The sequence below is a fragment of the Homo sapiens genome, chromosome 16, assembly GCF_000001405.40.
Source record: "Homo sapiens chromosome 16, GRCh38.p14 Primary Assembly".
Classification (NCBI taxonomy): domain Eukaryota; kingdom Metazoa; phylum Chordata; class Mammalia; order Primates; family Hominidae; genus Homo; species Homo sapiens.
In genome coordinates, this window is record NC_000016.10 from 2,628,153 (window position 1) to 2,646,911 (window position 18,759).

The 18,759-nt window shown below is 52.6% G+C and overlaps 1 long non-coding RNA gene and 2 pseudogenes across 2 annotated transcripts in view; 2 read left to right on the top strand and 1 right to left on the bottom strand.

Moving 5' to 3' along the window:
• LOC652276 (potassium channel tetramerization domain containing 5 pseudogene) overlaps positions 1–2,342 on the top strand; it is a 27,111-nt pseudogene extending 24,769 nt beyond the window's left edge. Inside the window, exon 4 of the transcript NR_015441.1 lies at positions 673–2,342. The product of NR_015441.1 is annotated as a potassium channel tetramerization domain containing 5 pseudogene (transcript). The remainder of the gene's footprint in view (positions 1–672) is intronic.
• Positions 1–14,338, bottom strand: part of PDPK2P (3-phosphoinositide dependent protein kinase 2, pseudogene) — a 25,938-nt pseudogene extending 11,600 nt beyond the window's left edge.
• Positions 10,830–17,977, top strand: FLJ42627 (uncharacterized LOC645644). Its single transcript, NR_024492.1, has one exon. It is a non-coding gene; the product is annotated as an uncharacterized LOC645644 (long non-coding RNA).
• The last annotated feature ends 782 nt before the right edge of the window (positions 17,978–18,759 follow it).

Here is an 18,759-nt window from a genome sequence, read left to right on the forward strand (position 1 = left end):
ACCAGGTTCCAGCGATTCTCCTGCCTCAGCCTCGCAAGTAGCTGGGATTACAGGAGTCACCTGGCTAAGTTTTTTTTTTTGGTTTTTTTTTTTTTTTTTTTTGAGATGGCGTTTCGCTCTTGTTGCCCAGGCTGGAGTGCAATAGTGTGGATCTCGGCTCACTGCAACCTCCGCCTCCCAGGTTCAAGTTATTCTCCTGCCTCCTGAGTAGCTGGGAGTACAGGCATGCACCACCACACCTAGCTAAAAACACACCTGTATTTTCAGTAGAGACAGGGTTTCGCCATGTTGGTCAGGCGGGTCTCGAACTCCTGATCTCAGGTGATCCGCCTGCCTCGGCCTTCCAAAGTGCTGGGATTACAGGCGTGAGCCACCACGCCCAGCCATAAATTTTGTATTTTTAGTAGAGACAGGGTTTCGTCACGTTGGCCGGGCTGGTCTCGAACTCCCGACCTCAGGTGATCCACTCGCCTCAGCCTCCCAAAGTGCTGCGATTACAGATGTGAGCCACCGCGCCTGGCCCTGGAGTGAGCTTTTGTGTATGGTGTGAGGAAGGGTAATAACTTTTTTAATGAATTAATCATCATTGGAAGAGAATGGAGAACCAATGTGTGGTTTTCAAAAATGGCATGAAAAGGGGAAAGAAGCATTTATCCTACTTTTCTTTTACAGATGATACCACGAGTCAACCCAAAAGTTGCTGGGGAGAAGTTGCTCTTTAATGAATTGCATCTCATGAATGTATCAGGCTGTGACCTTTCTGCACTCTCTAATGAGTTCATGAATTTAGGCCAATTATGGCCACAAATGCTGCTGCTGTCACAGAGAGATGCCGGATAAAGAACACCCACCACCAGTCTCTGAACAGGGAGGGGAGAATCAACTCTGAATGTGATGTAGTGGCCAGGAGAGAGGACCATGTTCAACAACGCCACACAGATGCAAATGACTTGTTTCTTCAACAAACTGCAAGGGAAAAAATAAAAATGGGGGAAGCTACAGATTAAAATACATGTGTTTGGATAGGAGAGTATTTAATGGCAAAAGAAAAAGAAAAAATTTAAAAATGAAATTGTGCAAAACTTATTTGAATCCTGTTCAAGTGAGCAACAAAACATTATGATGTACATGAGACAACTGGAAATATAACTCTGACTGGACACTTTGAGATATTAAGCAATTACCGTTCATTTTTACATATCAAACAGTATGGTATTGTGGTTACGCTTTTAAAAAGATTTGTATTTTAGCGACACATACTGGAATTTTTACAGGGAAAACCCACTGAGGATGCTGGGCATCAGGTCACTAGCACCGAGTGAATTTTTTACAATAAGCAGTAATTCTCCCCAGCCCCATGCATCATAGCCAATCCTAAATGAATGCCAATCTGGAAAAGACCAAAATAAACCACGTGAAGATGGGAAGAGCTGCTCTTGGTGATGGGAGAATGGGGACTCTCTCTTTTATTGTGCAAACTCCACTTTCCATCATGCAGGAAAATCCGTCTTGAAGGCAGCTCCTCTCTGTGCCGGGGGTGGGTGATCCAGCCTAAGCTAGAATGGCGGCAAGCTCAAGGCAGCTGTGGCCCTCAGGAGAGCGTCTGGAGTCCACAGCACAGTGGGAAGCGCAACGGCAGCTAGTCTGAGGGTCTGGACGATGGCCATGCACAGATGAGGACAGAGGAGCCACTGTAGTGACTGAAGCCCACGGCATCCACCCTCTCCAGCCAGCCCCGCCCACACCTGAAGCCCACAGCGTCCACCCTGTCCACCCAGCCCTGCCCACACCTGTGGCCTTCCTCTCCTTCCTGTTTGGTGAGTGCTGCCTCCACACCTGGCTGCATGCCAGAAAGGCCTGCACAGGTCAGAACACAGGTTTCCAAACCCTACTCCAAGTCTGAACCTCCAAGGACACCCCGAGCTCCCCAAGGTTCTTGCATAGAGGGCACAGGCCAGAGACAGCCCAGGTGGGAAGCTTACTCTGAGTCAGCTGCCCTCACCAAGATACATCCACAGGCTCCTGTACAAGGAGAGGAGGCAGAAGTCCCTCTCTGCCAGGAGGTCCTCCTCAATCTCCCAAGCCCACACCACTGCCCTGCTCCATCTCCCACCACCTCCCCCTGCAGATACGGGGGCCACCCTACCCACCCCACAGGAACGATGGGAAAACCTGCCTCCCTCTAGGAGGAGGGCGTGGCACAGCTGCTGCGCGGGTAAGGAACCTCGCTATGCCTTGCTCCCATCAACACTTTTATTCTAGATTTGAAGGTGTTTTGGGGAAGCCATCTCTGCACAAAAGAAGTCAACGCAGGAATAAATTCCAAGATACTGAACTACCTCAAACAGAAAATAAGTTACTAAAATTAATCCGCCACATAAATTATAGTTTTTTCCTTTTCCTCAAACAAGGGGAAAAGAACCACCAACTCATCTATACGCACAAGCAACTGGCCCTGGTTTACAATGATGTAAAGACTTTTAGCCTCCTGCTATCAAAAAGCAAAGGTTTATTTCATGATTTCTTCTTTCTTTTCCAGAGGCAGGCTCTTGCTCTGTCGCCCAGGCTGGAGCGCAGTGGCAGGATCACGGCTCACTGCAGCCTCAATCTCCCAGGCTCAGGTGATCCTCCCACCTCAGCCTCCTGAGTAGCTGGGACTACAGGCACGCACTAGCACGCCCAGCTAATTTTTGTTTTTTATCTTATATAGAGACAGGGTTTTGCCGTGTTCCCCAGGCTGGTCTCAAACTCCTGGGCGCAAATGATCGACCTGCCTCGGCCTCCCCAAGTGTTGGGATTACAGGTGGGCCACTGTGCCCAAGCTATTTCACTATTTCATCAGCGCACTTAAATGCCCGTTTTTTTTAAGTGGCTACAGGGCAACAAGACTATCCCTGTGCCAAATACCAGATTCCAAAGAAACTCTACCCACGTCACAAACCTGCACGTGGATCCCCTGAATCTAAAATAAAAGTTGAAATTATGAATAAATAAAGCCTTGCAATAAGGGAGGGGAAAAAAAAAGAAAGAAAATCCACACGAAGGGAAAAATGCCCAGAGCACAGCCCAGGGAGGTGGTTCCTGAGGCTGGCTGTGGGCACAGCCCAGAGAGCGGTTCCCGGGACTGACTGGGGGCAGAGCCAGCCCGCAGCGCTCCTGACCCCACGGAATGTTGTGGGCTCATCTCTGGGCAGGAAGTCAGCACAAGGACAGCAAGACACTGACAGATCCTAAGAAAGCTTACGAGACAGAAGTTCCTGTTTGGTTCAACTTTGTCACAGACAACACTGAGGGAGATGAGGTTACACTGTGTACACAGAAACAGGATTACCAGTCAGTAAGACGGTTACTATTTAACAGGAATGAGTCAAACAGATCAAGGTTTCAGGGCATGTCTGAAACGCCAGGAAGACCGCCCTGGCTCTGTGCAGCTTTGGGCGGGAGGTGCGCACTCTGGCATGCCACTGGACGGGGAGGGGAACGGGGCTACAAAAGGCAGCGGACGGCAGCAGGACTAAGCCACCTTAGACAACAAGAGGCTCCGGCTTGATTGCTAGTTTCGATCTTAGCCCCAAAAGGGTGATGTTTTTTATTTCTTTATTTATGAGACGGAGTCTCACTCTGTTGCCCAGGCTGGAGTGCAGTGGCACGATCGTGGCTCACTGCAACCTCTGCCTCCCGGGTTCAAGCGATTCTCCTGCCTCAGCCTCCCGAGTAGCTAAGACTACAGGCGCGCACCACCACGCCCAGCTAATTTTTTATATTTTTAGTAGAGACGGGGTTTCACCATGTTAGCCAGGATGGTCTCGATCTCCTGACCTCGTGATTTGCCCACCTCGACCTCCCAAAGTGCTGGGATTACAGGCTTCTTTTATTTTTTATTTATTACTACTATTTTTTAACAGTTGATCGCTCTGTTCCCCAGGCTGGAGTGCAGTGGGATCATCCTAGTTCACTGCATCATCCATCTCTCATTTCAGCCTCTCGAGTAGCTGGGACTACAGGTGTGTGCCATCACACCAGGATGATTTTTGGCTTTTTTGTAGATATGGAGTCTCACCATGTTGCCCAGTGGCTGGTCTCAAATTCCTGGCCTCAAACGATCCTCCTGCCTCAGCCTCCCAAAGCCCTAGGATTACAGGTGTGAGCTCCCATGCACAGCCAGGGTGATGTTTGAGGATTCTGAGAGAAGTTCCCAGATCCAAGACAAGGTCTTAGGGCCTCCATGACTGTGCAGAGATGAAAGCACCAACTGACAGAATCTCAGCCAGAGCCCTGAGTGTGAAAACACAGGGCTGGAAACGCCCAGAAGGGAAAGATAAGGCCCGGTGGAGGAAACGAGCAACTACCTCAAGGTGCCAAGAGAGGCCCCACAGGCACCAGCTGGGTACCTCCCAGCACACAGAATACAGGGCCAATTCCTAAGAAACAGAAAAGCCGAGCTGAGTCCAGAGTGCCTGCCTTGCTGAAGGGCCTGCTCTCCACCCAGCTGTGCTCTCCTCCAGCTACTGGGGGCCGGCTGGCCGTCCATGGAGACGAGGCCAGAACCACCACTGCTCTGTGCTCACGGTTCCCCTTTTCCACACGAGAGCAGCTACAACAACACGGTCACTTCTGTCTGAATCTTTCCTCCACCAACAAACCTGCACTCGCGTCCCTCCAAACCGGGCTCCAGCACCTCTCACCCCCACAGAGCCCTCTATGGAGGCCTTTCTCTGACGGGCACCCCAAGCCCAGGCAGAGGCCCATGCACCACTTGGAGGCCCTTGGACCCAGCCTCTTGACCCAGACAGACTCCAGCAATCACCCGAGGTTCACCTTCAAGGTCACTTATAATGCACACAGCAGCCTTCAGCTTCCCCAAACCTCATCCCAAGGCTTTATCTTCTCTCTACCCAGCACTCGGGAGCACTCTTCAGAATTTCAGCTGCCTTTCTTTACACCTCCAGAGTTTGTGATTTCTACCCAATAAGCACCTGAAGGGCATCGAGATACCCCCGGCCGGCTAAGACAACCTAGGCCACTTCTCTGGCCCGAGTGGACTTTCAGCAACATCTCCGATGGAGTTGTCACAACATGGTCCGAGGCTAGAAACTACCCTTGGGAACAGGACTCGGAGGCTTTGTGATGACAAACGTGCACGTGGCCAGCAGGGAGACAGACGGACAGCTAACGGAGGGAGCGCACCGAGGTACAGGGATGTGCGCGCCCGGATACTACCTGCAACACAGGCAGGAGGAGCCAGGAGCTGACCACACCGGCTCCACATCCTGCACGCGGGTGGCTGGGTACGAATGTGGCCCCCCACACTGTCCAGAAGACGAGTAGGGAGGATGAACCAGAGCAGGCGCCGAGGAGAACCAGCGACCTCCCACTCTACACCAACACACACTGCCTGGGGCCCCCCCAGGAAGACCTGCTGGCGTGGCAGGGTCTTGCCCAGAGAAAGTTCAAGATCTGTTTGAGAACGGCCAAGGTATCCCCACCTCAGTCGTTGATGAAGATGACACAATGCAAACACTCCTCAGAAGTCGCTTTCCATCTGAAGCACAGAGCCAGGCTCTGCTAGAAATAAAACTCACACACCTTGTTTGCTCTCTGGGGATAAGACTTTTGCTGTTCCAAAATCTGTGATCTGGATGTGCATATCTTCATTTAACAAAATGTTTTCCGGTTTAAGGTCCCTGTAAAAGCAGATTTTCACATTTGAGAAGAAATACTTAAAACAGCAACATTATTACGTACTCTAAATTTTGCTGAAAACAAAATGAACGAATGAATGTATATGATCCTTACAGGCTGACAACCAGGGCTACAGGCCTAAAGCTCACAAGCAACAAGTGTTGGCTGGACACAGTAGGGATTCACCACCTCACATCTCCATGTCATTCTAAGTCGTTTTTTAACGAAGTAAAATCTATCATTTTTAACGCACAAAATGAAAGCTATGCACACTTCTGAGCTGACTTTATCAGAAAGTCATGAAAAACGAGACCAGAAAGAAGTACACACAGAAGCTACAACTGAAAAAGATAAAAAGCATCAGTCAAGATGGTGAAAAGAATCATTAGCTCGCCAGGAAAGACACGCAACCATTGCATGTGGTATTGGCAGGAGAGCCTCTCCACGTCAGCGCTCCGTGGACGTGTGGCCTCGCCTTGGCACTCAGGCTGTGGCACAGGCAGGCATCTCAGTCCCACCCATCCAGGGAGCACTCCAACCTGGCTGACCTCAAGGGCGGGGGCCATCTGGGCATCAGCCGTGGCCTGTGAGCCAAACGGTCACTGGCCCTGATCATCAAACTGACGTCCTGCAAACCCACCCAGCCACCCCCGCGGTTACCTGTGAATGATGCCCTTGCCGTGCAAGTACTCTAAAGCAGACACAATCTCAGCCGTGTAAAATCGGGTACAGGTCTCATCGAATGAACCGATTTTGCGAATATATTTAAGTAGTTCTCCATTTTTGGCATAACTAAGGCCGAAATCTGAATATCGTGCAGTTAAGGAAGTGTAAAAATCTCTTGTTTCGTTTTGGAGCAGGTTTACTCCGTTGCCCAGACTGGAGTGCAGGGGCACAATCATAGCTCACTGCAGCCTCAACCTCCCTGGCTCAAGCGATCCTCCCACCTTAACCAACCCAAGTGGCTGGGAACGTAGGTACGCGCTACCACGCCTGGCTCATGTGTTTTATTTTGTAAAAGTCATTTTTGGAAAACTAACCTTAAAAGTCTGATAAGAATTTTTAATTCAGTGCAAACTGAAAGTACCTGTGGCCCAAGACAGTCATGTCACTGGATCTGCCGGGCATCCCAGGCCCCAGCTCCAAGACGAGGCACCAGCATGATGAGGGCTTTCTCATTAAGAACGCCATTACACGGTCTCGAGGAAACAGGAACAGAGCCTCTCAGCCCCGACTGCCCCTCTGGCCCCTGGCCGTGTCCACGGCCTCAGTGAAAGGGAACCGCTGGTGACAGGGCCTACAGACCCCGACCAAAAAGCGCATATAACTCACGTGCAGGCTTCGATGCACAAAGACCCCGGGGGCCGGCGGAGCAGGGTCGGAGAGCGCGACAGCCCCTGCCCTGAGACCCCGGCTTTATGTGCTACGCATCCACGCGTGGCACTGCCCCTTCCATGCAGTCTCCTTCCGTGGATAAAGTGACACATTTTGTTTTGTTTTTTTTTTTTAAGATGCAGTCTCGCTCTGTCGCCAGGCTGGAGTGCAGTGGCGCTACCTCGGCTCGCTGCAACCTCCGCCTCCCGGAGTCAAGCAATTCTCCTGCCTCAGCCTCCCGAGTAGCTGGGACTACAAGCACGCGCCACCATGCCCCCCTAGTTTTGGTATTTTTAGTAGAGACGGGGTTTCCCCAGGTTGGCCAGGATAGTCTCCATCTCTTATCCTCGTGATCTGCCCGCCTTGGCCTCCCAAAGTGCCGGGATTACAGGCGTGAGCCACCGCACCTGGCCGAGTGACACACTTTGTAAGACAAAAGCCATCTCATGAACTTCTACACCCATGAAGTGTGTCTGGGAGGCCCCCTCCTCTGGGCACCACTGCCCTACGATGGCTCCATCTGTAGCCTCCTTTTCCAAGAGGACTTAAGACCGACAATAAATGGATCCCAGATACAGATTCCCCTGCAAGCGGCAAACGTCCATCCCCATTACCGGAAACCTCCAGATACTTCACACTTACTGGCAGCCCAGGACACGGGGACCCAAATCCTTGCCTGCCCTGAGCAGTGGCTCTCGAGGCCAGGAAGGGGGGCTCGTGCTCAGAGCCAGGCTGGCCTGCCTGCTCACTTCTGTTTGCCAGGGCACCATCATCTCCCACCAAGGATGAACCTGAAGCTTCAGGGCAACGAAGAGAAACCCAGAAGCGAAGGGACTTGCAACCAAGGCTGCCCAAAGTGGCCCCTGTCCAGGCCCATCTCTAAATACAACCCACACCGAGGATGCCTGGTGGGGCAGAAGTCCCTGGGTCTCGTTCCCGTCAGGGGCGAGTGAACCTTCACAACCTCCCGGGGCTTTGGAATTTGACTTAATGATGAAGGGCAACATGGACCACTGGACAAAGACCTGGAGTTCCCACTACCTGCACCGCTCTGGCCAATCCCATTTGGAAATCAGTCAGCAAGATTCACTCTCCTCTGGACTCTGAGCCCCCGGGAGGAGAGGATGGGAGAGGTCAAGCGTGTGCAATTCTGTTGCAGCCTCACAACCAACAAGCAGCCGTGTTCCGACGGCTCTGCGGGAAGCCCAGAGGGACTCCCGTGGCTCATACGGGGGCAGAGACGTGCAGGGCCCCGGGGAACGTGAAGGTGAGAGACAGAACATACCGTGAAGAAGCCACTGAGAGTGGGAGACAGAGGCAGGAACAGGGATGACACTGGAGGACAGCAGGCCTGCCTGGAGGCCAGCATTCTCTACAACCTTCCACAAACCAACAGCAAAGCCCGCTCCGGGCCACGTGCCTGGCAGCTGCTCGGCCACTGCCCCGCTCCTCCCTAGGCAAAATCCCAGGGAAGCACCTTGCGTCGTTTCCATTTCCTCACCTCTTACTCTTCCTTGAACAGTCCCCCCAAGAAACTGCCTACCCACCATCAACAACTGGCACAGGGCAGATCCACGGGTCAGGCTGTGTGCACCTGACCGCTTCATAACCCCTGCGTGGGCAGCCAGCACCCTCCATCAGAAATCGTTTGATCCCGTGGCCTCTGGGTCTCCATCATTCGAGCTCGGGAGCAACATCCCATCACCATCTCCTCTCCTCGGTGGGCCCCTCCTCGTGTTCACCCCTGCACTGGGGGGAACCCAGGCTCCACTCACAGAGGAGCCAACCTCTGGGCAGCCTGCCAGCTCGCTGTGAAAGTCCTCACGGCCCTGACTCCTCCTGGAGCTCTGCTGGCAGCACCTAAGTGCCCACTCAGACCTGAATGGTGGCACCAGCGGATGCATGAAATGCCAGCCCAGCACCCGCCCCGGTCTCTCCCAGCTCAGCAGCAGACACCGCTGTGCACTAGGCTTGAGGGCCACCTCCCAGGAGCTGCCCCTGACTCCATTCTCTTGACCGGTCTGTTCATCAGACCTCGACCACGGCCCCTGCCCCTGCTCTCCTGCCCGTTCTCCCGCCTGGCCTAGGAGAAGCCACAGCAAACCCCACGTTCCCCGCCACAAAGAGAAGGAAGTCCAGAGTCAGTGCCAGGCTGCCACGGCTCAGGGGCCCAGCCCACCACAGCCTTTCATGCCCCCCCACACACTCCTGCCCAGGAGCTGAAAGAGCCCCACACTGCCGCCAGCCCCTACCCAGCCCTAAGACTCTTGGCAGCACATCTTGCTGCCGGGAAGCCTCTGACACGGATCGTCAGTGCACGTCCAGCTCCTCCACCAAAATCGAAGCTTCTCGTGGGCAGAGACGCCACCCGGCATAGCAGCGCATCCCCATCACCCATCAACCTGCACTTGGCAAGCACCTCCAAACAGAGAGAGCACACACACTCCGCCGGCAGCCGAAGGAGCTGCAGGATGGTGCTGAGAGTGGGAGCAGGCCAGAACGAAGCTCTAACACAGAAGAGCCGGGTGCTGGGGAGAGACGGGGAGGACAGGTGGGAGGACTCAGGCCCCTCCCCAGGCAGGATGGGGAGGCCACGACACTTGGGCCAGCTTGGAGGGTGGCGGGGGAGGAGAAGAGCAGATGCAGACTGCACCTGCTGGGGGTGACGACGGTGTGGCGTGGCCAGCCCAGCCACTGGCAGGCCCACAGGTCAGCTGGATGGGGCAGAGGTGGGGCCCACCCCAACTTCCACCGGGCCTTGCCTCCCAGATTCCTGAGCCAAGGTTTAATAACAGAAAAGATGGAGCTCTAGGGGAGCAAGGGACGCCGACCAAGCAAGCCGCAGCAGAGAGGACTGTGCTGGAGCCACATCGGTGGCTTCTCCGGGAGGTAACGTCCTGTGCAGACTCCCAGCCACACCCTGGCGCTGCCTCGGCTGCCTCCCTGAATGTCAGCGGCCTGAGGGACCCCACTCGGCAGGGAGCGGGGGCTGCTTGTGGGAACACACAGGGTCTGATTCCAAGTGAGAGGGGTGACTGGTGTGGCTTCAGACGGCACCAACCACGCAAAGGATACACAGCTTCTCGTCGTCCTGAAATGTGAAGTAAAGCTTAACAAAGAAGGGGTGATCCAGGCGCGACATGACATCCCGCTCTCTGGTTACATAGGGGACCTTGTTCTCTTTTATGATATGTCGCTTCTCCAGAATTTTAACTTCAGGTGAGAGAGAAGTGAGTTACTATCAGAAACAACAAAAAACACTAAAGACATGACTCACAAAGGTAACTGGTACAAATTAAAGTCTTTCAAACATTGTACACAACAGCCTGGTGGTCTCTAAAGCCAACAGTGTCCTGTACCCTGAAATCAGCACAGAAACACCGGCCCTGCCACCCCAGCCGCCCTGCACGGAGCCGCTTGCCCTGCTCCCGGACGCACAGCTCCCTGCAGCCCATACTCACTCGCATATTCTCTGGAGGTTGCCAGTTCTCGAGCCAGGACAACCTGGTTGGGAAAGAAAAGGAGAAAAAGAAACACACAATGTAATAACCAGGACACTGGGCCTGACGAGTCCCTCTGCCCCACACGCACGCTTCCTGTCCCCACTGAAGGCTTGAGTCTACAGTGAAATATTTTGGGTCTTGTACTGACAAGTAGAGCTAAAAGCCAATGCTCGTGTTGATGTGTTCTAACAGCTAAGAGAAAACATATCCATCTCTCCGTTGTTTCCAGAAGCTTCTGGATCAGCTGCTAACAGCCCTAACGGTGCAACACAAGTACAAACTCAGGAACCTCTTCGACTGCCACGCCCTTCACCAACAGAAGGAAGACAGTGGCGCCACCACAAGTGGCAGGGCACAGGGGCTTCTGTGACAACAATATGTCCTTCTAGTATACATTCATTGCAAAGGCTGCCCTGAAGTTTCGTTTTTGGAAATAACTGTTATCATACATTTTGTATGATGTTGCTTGTGGGCACCATGAAGAGAGCCTGGCTGTAAAGGACAGAGGGAGCTAAACCAACAATGCATGGCCCTGCGTGCCCACAAGAGGGAGCCACCTGCCCGGGATGCAGCAGGCCTCCTGCCCTGTCCTCTCAGCACCCCTGAGCCCTGCACTCAAACCCCACCTCCGAGACAGAGCACTCCAGCAGGGCAGGCATCCCAAACAGGGGAGAGACCCTCCACTCGGACTAGCCTGGGGCACACCCTGAGGCACCAGACTGGAGATTCCTGGTGGGCCCACGGTTTAGCCAGAGAGCATGAGGCAGCTGTGCCAGGGAGGCCCCACCACCACCAAGTGGGACACAAGTGTCTCCTAAGACACCCACAGGGGGACGGCCTGAGGAGCAGGGAGCAGAGGAAACCTGTCCCGTGACATTCCTGGGGGCTGGCAGGAAGACCTTCAGGAGGCCACAGGGCCAGGTCCACCTGGCCCCGGGCTGTGAGCCGCAATCGGGGCAGGACTCCTGATGGGACACGTCAGAAGAGATCCTGGAAAGCACCATGTGAGACGCCTTGTGGCACTCAAGAAGAATGAAGTTGGATTCTGGGGACTCTACATACTCAAGATCTTCCCAGAGGAATACGCCACGCATGGATGGCTCTCAGCTGCCAGGGAGAAAGGGGAAGTGGGCCGGGCAGGGCTCCCCTCTCTAGCTCATGTGTTTCTGTGAGGTCACGTTTCTCCACAAGAGCACGTGCTAGCTTCATAAGTAGAAAAGAGGAAGAAAGAATTGTGAACGAACACCGATATTTAGTGGAACCCTTTCTAAGGGGATACTGATGTGATCTTTCCGTTGTCTAAACTCAACACTTCACAAGCAGGTTTCCTACAAGAAGGAAGGATCCTCTTCCAGAGAATGGCGCGTGACGTGTCCCTCCCTGGAGGTTGTGACCGTCCTCAGGGGGCCTCCCGGCTCTCCGGTGCTGCAGCTGGCTCTTGCCCAGCCTCCTATCACTGTCCTTTCCCCCTCCCCTGGAAATCAACTTTTATGTGATCTCCATTTCAGGAAAGCTGAGAAAGAACTGAGGGTAACACATGTAATCTGAGACCCAGTACTGTGGATTCCAAACAGCCCCATGGAGGAGCCTCCAGCTCACCGTGCTCTCCCGGGCACCTCCCTGGTGCAGGTTCAGAAAGACACGGACCACAGCCCCTGGAGGGACAGTGCCTGCTCTCCACCCATCTCCAGAACCCAGGGAAACAGGCAATTTCACAGATGAGTCTTCCTTTTTCAGTCAAGATAAATGTTAAGGGCCATGTATGGTGGCACATGCCTGTGGTCCCAGCTACTCAGGAGGCTAAGGCAGGAGGATCGCTTAAGCCCAGGTGGTGAAGGCTGCAGTGAGCTATGATCACACCGCTGCACTCCAGCCTAGGTGACAGAGCAAGACTCTGTTTCTAAAAGGATAAATACATACATAATAAAATAAAGTTAAATTAAAAAGAGACATATAAGGAAGTAAAACTGAGGCCAAGCACAGTGGCTCACGCCTGTAATCCCAACACTTTGCAAGGCTGAGGAGAGAATCACTCGAGCCTAGGAGTTCAAGACCAGTCTGGGCAACAAAGTGAGACCCTGTCTCTACAAAAAATTTTACAATTAGCTGGGCACGGTGGTGCATTCCTGTAACTGCAGCTACTTGGGAGGCTGAGGTAAGAGGATCACTTGAGCCCAGGAAGTCGAGGCTGCAGTGAGCTATGATCATGCCACTGCACTCAAGCCTGGGCGACAGAGCAAGACTCTGTCTCAAAAAACAGGTAAAGCTGAGAAAAGAGGAGGCCTGTTCTTTCACTGGGTGGTTGTAAGCAGCCATGCAGAATGCCCAAGGTTTTCCAAAGAGTTTCTTCTTTCTGAAAGGATCTGAGTCCCCAAAACTTTGGGGACTAGTCTCATGGTTGAAGGCATTTTTCATGAGGGCATAATCCTTTTATAAAAAAATTATTTCATAAAACCTGCAATTTAAAAAATCTAAAGTGTAAGGGCAGCAAAAGTTAACATTAATTAAAACAATATGTTGGGAATATGGGTAAGCTATATTTCATGTTTTTCTTTGCATTGTGAAATATTTCCTATGTGTAAAAAAGAGAAAAAAGGAAAATAAACCTCACCTACGGTTTCTTCACAAAGGTCAGGCAAGAAAGAATTATTCAGGAACTCACCCAGGCCCTCCAGAGTGAGGTGCCCCCAGGGCTCCCTGGAATGGCCCTAGCACGCACACGGCGGCCACCTTGGCGACCACAGTGGCGGCACGGGACTCTGTCTCTTTAGAGGCCCAGATGGAGACAGTGCACCCCGAGTTGCTCAGGCCTCCCCTGAACCTGTTACAACCTTCACTAAATCCACAACCACACACGGCTTCATGGGTCCCACGTCAGCAAAACGTCCCATGTCAGCTGCTTTCGACCTTCATTTCTTTGCTTTCAGAGGAAAAAACACCCCAAAGACAGGTAACAAGTGTGACTTGACAGTACTGCGACAATACTCCTGTTTGTGAAACTCGGAACACAAGAATCTGGAGGCTGTGTCTCCAGCAAATGTCCAGAGCGTACTGTTTTATGTATTCAAAAAAACAAAACAGAGAAATAAGAAGAGGTCAATAAATGTCCCCAAAAACCCTGGAGAGATACTAACTTTCAATCTAAGAAAAAGAACAGCTTCCCAGGGCCCTGCCAGTGAGACACAAGGACACAGAATGTAACTTGCTGATGCCAGGTTAAAATGAAATTAACTACATCAGAAAAAACCTCCGCAGACCATCAAGAGATGTGTCTAACGTTCTCATCTACAAAACCAGGTTAAATATTTAGCCACACTCATCACGTCATCTGCTTGGGGGGTACCCAGCCCCCAAAGACTCAAGTGGCCTTCACAACAGGTGACACCCCTCAAGGGGCCTGAGACCTCCTGCCTGGAAGGACACCAGCCTTGCTTGGAGTCTCCGGCAAGCCCTGAGGAAGGTGAGCCTCCCCAAGGAAATCACGTACGTTTGACACACAGCAGCAGCAAATACTCACCGTGGAAAAAGAGCCTTCCCCAAGAATTTTCCCAAACTTGAAGTCCTCAGGCCGCTTCTTCCGAGGCTGCGGCGGAGGCTGGGCATGCTGCAGGGAGCCGGCGCCGGGCCGAGGCTCGGCTGCAGTGCCGTCCATGGCGGGGCCCTGCCTGCTGCCACCAGGAATGCCAGGGGGCGTGCTGGACTCAGTCTGGGTCCTCACCATTGATGGGGATGGGCAGGAACATAACACCACGCTGGACTGGATGGGCACGGCGTCATACTAGGCGACAAAGAGGAAAAGGAAGTAAGGCTCAAGGCAGCTGCCTTGCTCTCAATGCACGGACTAAGGTTTAAGGACCTCATTTCAACGCTCAAAAACAAACCCCAAGCACAGGGCAGGCCAGCTGAGCCCCGCGGTCTGCTGTGAGCTGCCGGCCTCCTCTCCTGAGTCCTGCCCGTGCCATGGCTCCCCGCTAATCCACCAGGCAGCGCCTCGCCCTCCTCCTGTCCCTCGCGCTGCCTGAGCCTCCAGCCAACTCATCCCAAGGCCAAGGTAACCTGAGCAGAGATAGCACGGCACATCTTTAATTGTGGGGGGGATGGAGAGATAAGAGTGATGATCGCATGTGTTTACAATACACAGAGACGCCCAGTGCTGGCAAGACTATAATAAAGCGAGCGTACTCACACCACTGCGGCTGGCACCAAAAACCGGGATTGCAGTGGAAATGTTTTTGGAAAGCAGTTTGGCAACTGTCAACAAAGCGACTACAGAACAGTTGTCAATGAGACACAGAAATACGAAGGAGAGGAGGGAGGGCAGAAACCCAGTTAACAATGTAAGCGGGCACGGAGGGAAGATCAGCGTGCAAAGCTAGGTCGGCAAGACGTGCAAGGTGCACCCACAGCCATAACAATCCCTCCCCAGACCCCAACGTGTCCTCACGGTGGTGGCAGTGGCCCCCCGCACTACAGAAGAACAATGCGAGGCGAGCTCAGGCGCGCTGATGGTGGTTTCCGATACAACTCCCCACTCAAAGAACCCCGGAGAGCTCTTGATTCCATCTCTCAGTAGGGTCCTGAAGTCCATGCTGTCTGAAGACACAGGGTCTCCCCCTGCGTCTGTGCCAGGACAGAGGGACTGCCACCAGCCAAGCTGCAATCCTTTTAAACGCTAAAAACGGCCGGGCTTGGTGGCTCATGCCTGTAGTCCCAGCAGTTTGGGTGGATGAGGCGGGTGGATCCCCTGTGGTCGGGAGTTCAAGATCAGCCTGACCAACACGAATAAACCCCTTCTCTACTAAAAATACAAAATTAGGCCGGGCACAGTGGCTCAGGCCTGTAATCCCAGCACTTTGGGAGGCAGAGGCGGGAGGATCACCTGAGGTCAGGAGTTCGAGACCAGCCTGACCACATGGAGAAATCCCGTCTCTACTAAAAATACAAAAAAACTAGCCGGGCTTGTTGGCGCATGCCTGTAATGCCAGCTACTTGGGAGGCTGAGGCAGGAGAATCGCTTCAACCTGCAAGGCAGAGGTTGCAGTGAGCTGATAGCATGCCATTGCACTCCAGCCTAGGCAACAAGAGTGAAATTTCGTCTCAAAAAAAAAAAAAAAAAAAAATAGGCCGGGCGCAGAGGCCAAAGTGGGTGGATCACTTCAGCCCATGAGTTCAAGACCAGCCTGGGCAAACACAGCAAAACCCCACCTCTACTAAAAATATAAAAATTAACCAGGTACGGTGGCATGTGCCTGTCGTCGCAGTTAATTGGGAGGCTGAGGTAGGAGGATTACCTAAGCCCGGGGAGGTCGAGGCTGCAATGAGCCAAGATCACATCACTGCACTCCAGCCTGGACGACAGAGGGAGATCCTGCCTCAAAAATAAAAAATAATAAGTAAATAAATAAAAAGAATATATTCACTATTTTGCTTATCAAAGTCTCTTAAAGGAGGTGACTTACCTACGCTATGGACCCAATTACTCAGCCAATAAGAGGACACGGTCCCTGCCCATAGAAAGCTGATGTCCAGCCTGACCTCAATACAAAACCATCCAGTTAAAGTGGTGGGGGTGGCTATGCAGAGACGGGCGGGTGCCGGGAGAGTCAAGGGCAGCCCCTTGGCTGGCCAGGGGCTCAGACAGACCAGCTGGGGAGATGCATCACTCGCCCAGGAAAACTGATGACAGCTTAGATGGCACTGCAAGAGCAGGGAGGATCACACTCATGTCCAGAAAGTGAAACATAAAACAGCTAAACATGTACCACACAGCTTTCATACAAAAATTTTATATACACAAATTTTGAAAAAATAGAGATGGGGTTTTGCTTGTTGTCCCGGCTGGTTTCGAACTCCTGAACTCAAGTGATCTGCCTGCCTCAGCTTCCCAAAGTGATGCAATTACAGGCATGTGCCACCATGCCTGGTGACTTTTTTTCTGTTTTGAGACGGGGTCTCACTCTGTCTCCCAGGCTGGAGCTCAGTGGCATGATCATAGCTCACTGCAGTCTCGACCTCCTAGGCTCAAGTGATCCTCCCACCTCAGCCTCCTGAGTAGTGGGACCACAGGTGTGCACCACCGTGTCCAGCTAATTTTTGTAGAGATGGGGTCTCATCATGCTGCCCAGGCTGGTCTCAAACTCCAGGGCTCGAGTGATCCGCCATCCTTGGCCTCCCAAAGTGCTGGATTACAGACCTGAGCCACCACACCAGGCTGCCCCACACATTGTAAAGTTTCGCTTCCCTCTAATGTCAGATTCCAAAGACAGCAGCCTTCATGAGTCAGAAAGAAACATCGGTCATTTTGAAATCAACATCCAACTGAAGTGTAGAAAGGCCTCTGGATTTTTGAAACGGCAACAACAGATGATGTAATACAAAGACGCCCCCACCCCACTGCTTTCCCACTGCATGCTTTACATGACATGGCACAGCTTCCACGCCAGCAGCTTCAATCATGTAAAGCGAATGCAGTCCCATCAAGACCACAGCATTGGCTGAGCAGCTACTCCATGCTGGGCACCGTCCTGGGCACTGGAAGTACAGCAGAGAACGAAACCAAGACCACACCCTCCAGAAGCCTGCATTCCAGCAGGACAGACAGACTTCCATACACAGAGCAGGAAAATGCACAGCGTGTCAGATGATGATGATTACTATGAGAAAAATAAAGCAGGCAAAGAGAACAGGACTATTTGGATGAGGGTGGTGCAAATTCAAATAATCAGACAGCCTTTGCTGGGAAGGTGATATCTGAGCAAAGATTCGAGAAGGTGGGGAGAGCCCCGGAGCCTTCCCCGCAGAGCAGAGGAGGCCCGGGAAGCTCTGGACTCATAGCGGTTCAGCACGGCCACGACACGGCCACTTCCAGACAGAGCCCCTGGCTGCTGGGTAGGGACCGCAGCACCTCAGAGAACCCTTTCTGGGGTCACTTCTGGCACCCTCTGCAAACCTCAAGGGGGAGCGTGAGGCTGGGGGCTGTCCATCAGGGTCCAGGCACCTCCTGAAGGAACCTCTCAAAGCCAGCCGATCACCGGCTCCAGACCCACGCTGTCAGACATCTCTGTGGCCACCAGACCACTGCCACTCTCACGGGTGTGATGACATGGGACCTGCCTACTGGTAGTCTTCTGCCTTCGTGGAATTCTGCAACTTCCTTCCTGCCTCGGCCACAGCATGTCAGCCAAGCACCTGTCAGGGTCCCTCCCTGGCAGGACGATGTTTAGAAGCTCAACACCGTGCTCCTGCCTCCTCTTCAGACCCATCAGAACTTGCTACCATGGGTGTGTTTTAATAAATAACTTCATTTCTGCAGCAAATAAATAAATAAATAAATGTAGTTGCAATATTGCCTTTAAAAGCACTTTTAAGCATCAATTGTGAAATAAAAAGCCCGAGCAAAAGCCCTCTTTGAGCGTGAAGTGTCTAAACGTTTATTTGTACTACTATTGTTGTAAAGGGTAGATTTTGTAGCATTTTGAGGTGGTGATTCAACTGCATTAACAGCATCCCGAGACCGCCTGCCACGATCTGGAGGAAACGCACGGCCAGGGCCCACGTGCAGGGTAGGGTCCTGCCAGGCTCCCAAAACGCCCCGTCCCAGCACTCAGTCCCATGGAGGCAGCACAGCCTCAGGGAGGCCAGCGACTCTGGGCCTGCGGGTGAGTCCTTCAGCCCCTGCACAGCCCAATCCATCTGCCACCCACTTGGTGACCCCAAATTGTAGTAAGACAACACTTCCAGTTACTCAACAGCTTCTGAAATTTAAATCTCTGGAACAATTTACAGTAATAAGACCCTAGGTGCACCTGTCTACTATCCTTGTCCTCCCTAATGAAATGGGCTAGGCGTGGTGGCTCATGCCTGTAATCTCCCATTTTGGGAGGCCAAGGCAGGAGAACTGCTTGAGCCCAGGTGTTGGGAGACCAGCCTGGGTAACATGGCGAGACCTCACATCTAATAAAAAAAAAAAAAATCTGCTGGCTGTGGTGGCGCACACCTGTAATCCCAGCTGAAGTGGGAGAATTACTTGAGCCCAGGAGGCTGAGGCTGCAGTGAGCCGTGGTCATAGCACTGCACTCCAGCAGGGGTGACAGAACAAAACCTTGTCTCTTTTTAAAAAAGAAATTAAAAAAAAAAAAAAAAGAGCCAGGCACGGTGGTGTGCACCTGTGGTTCCACTTCCAGCTGAGGTGGGAGGATCA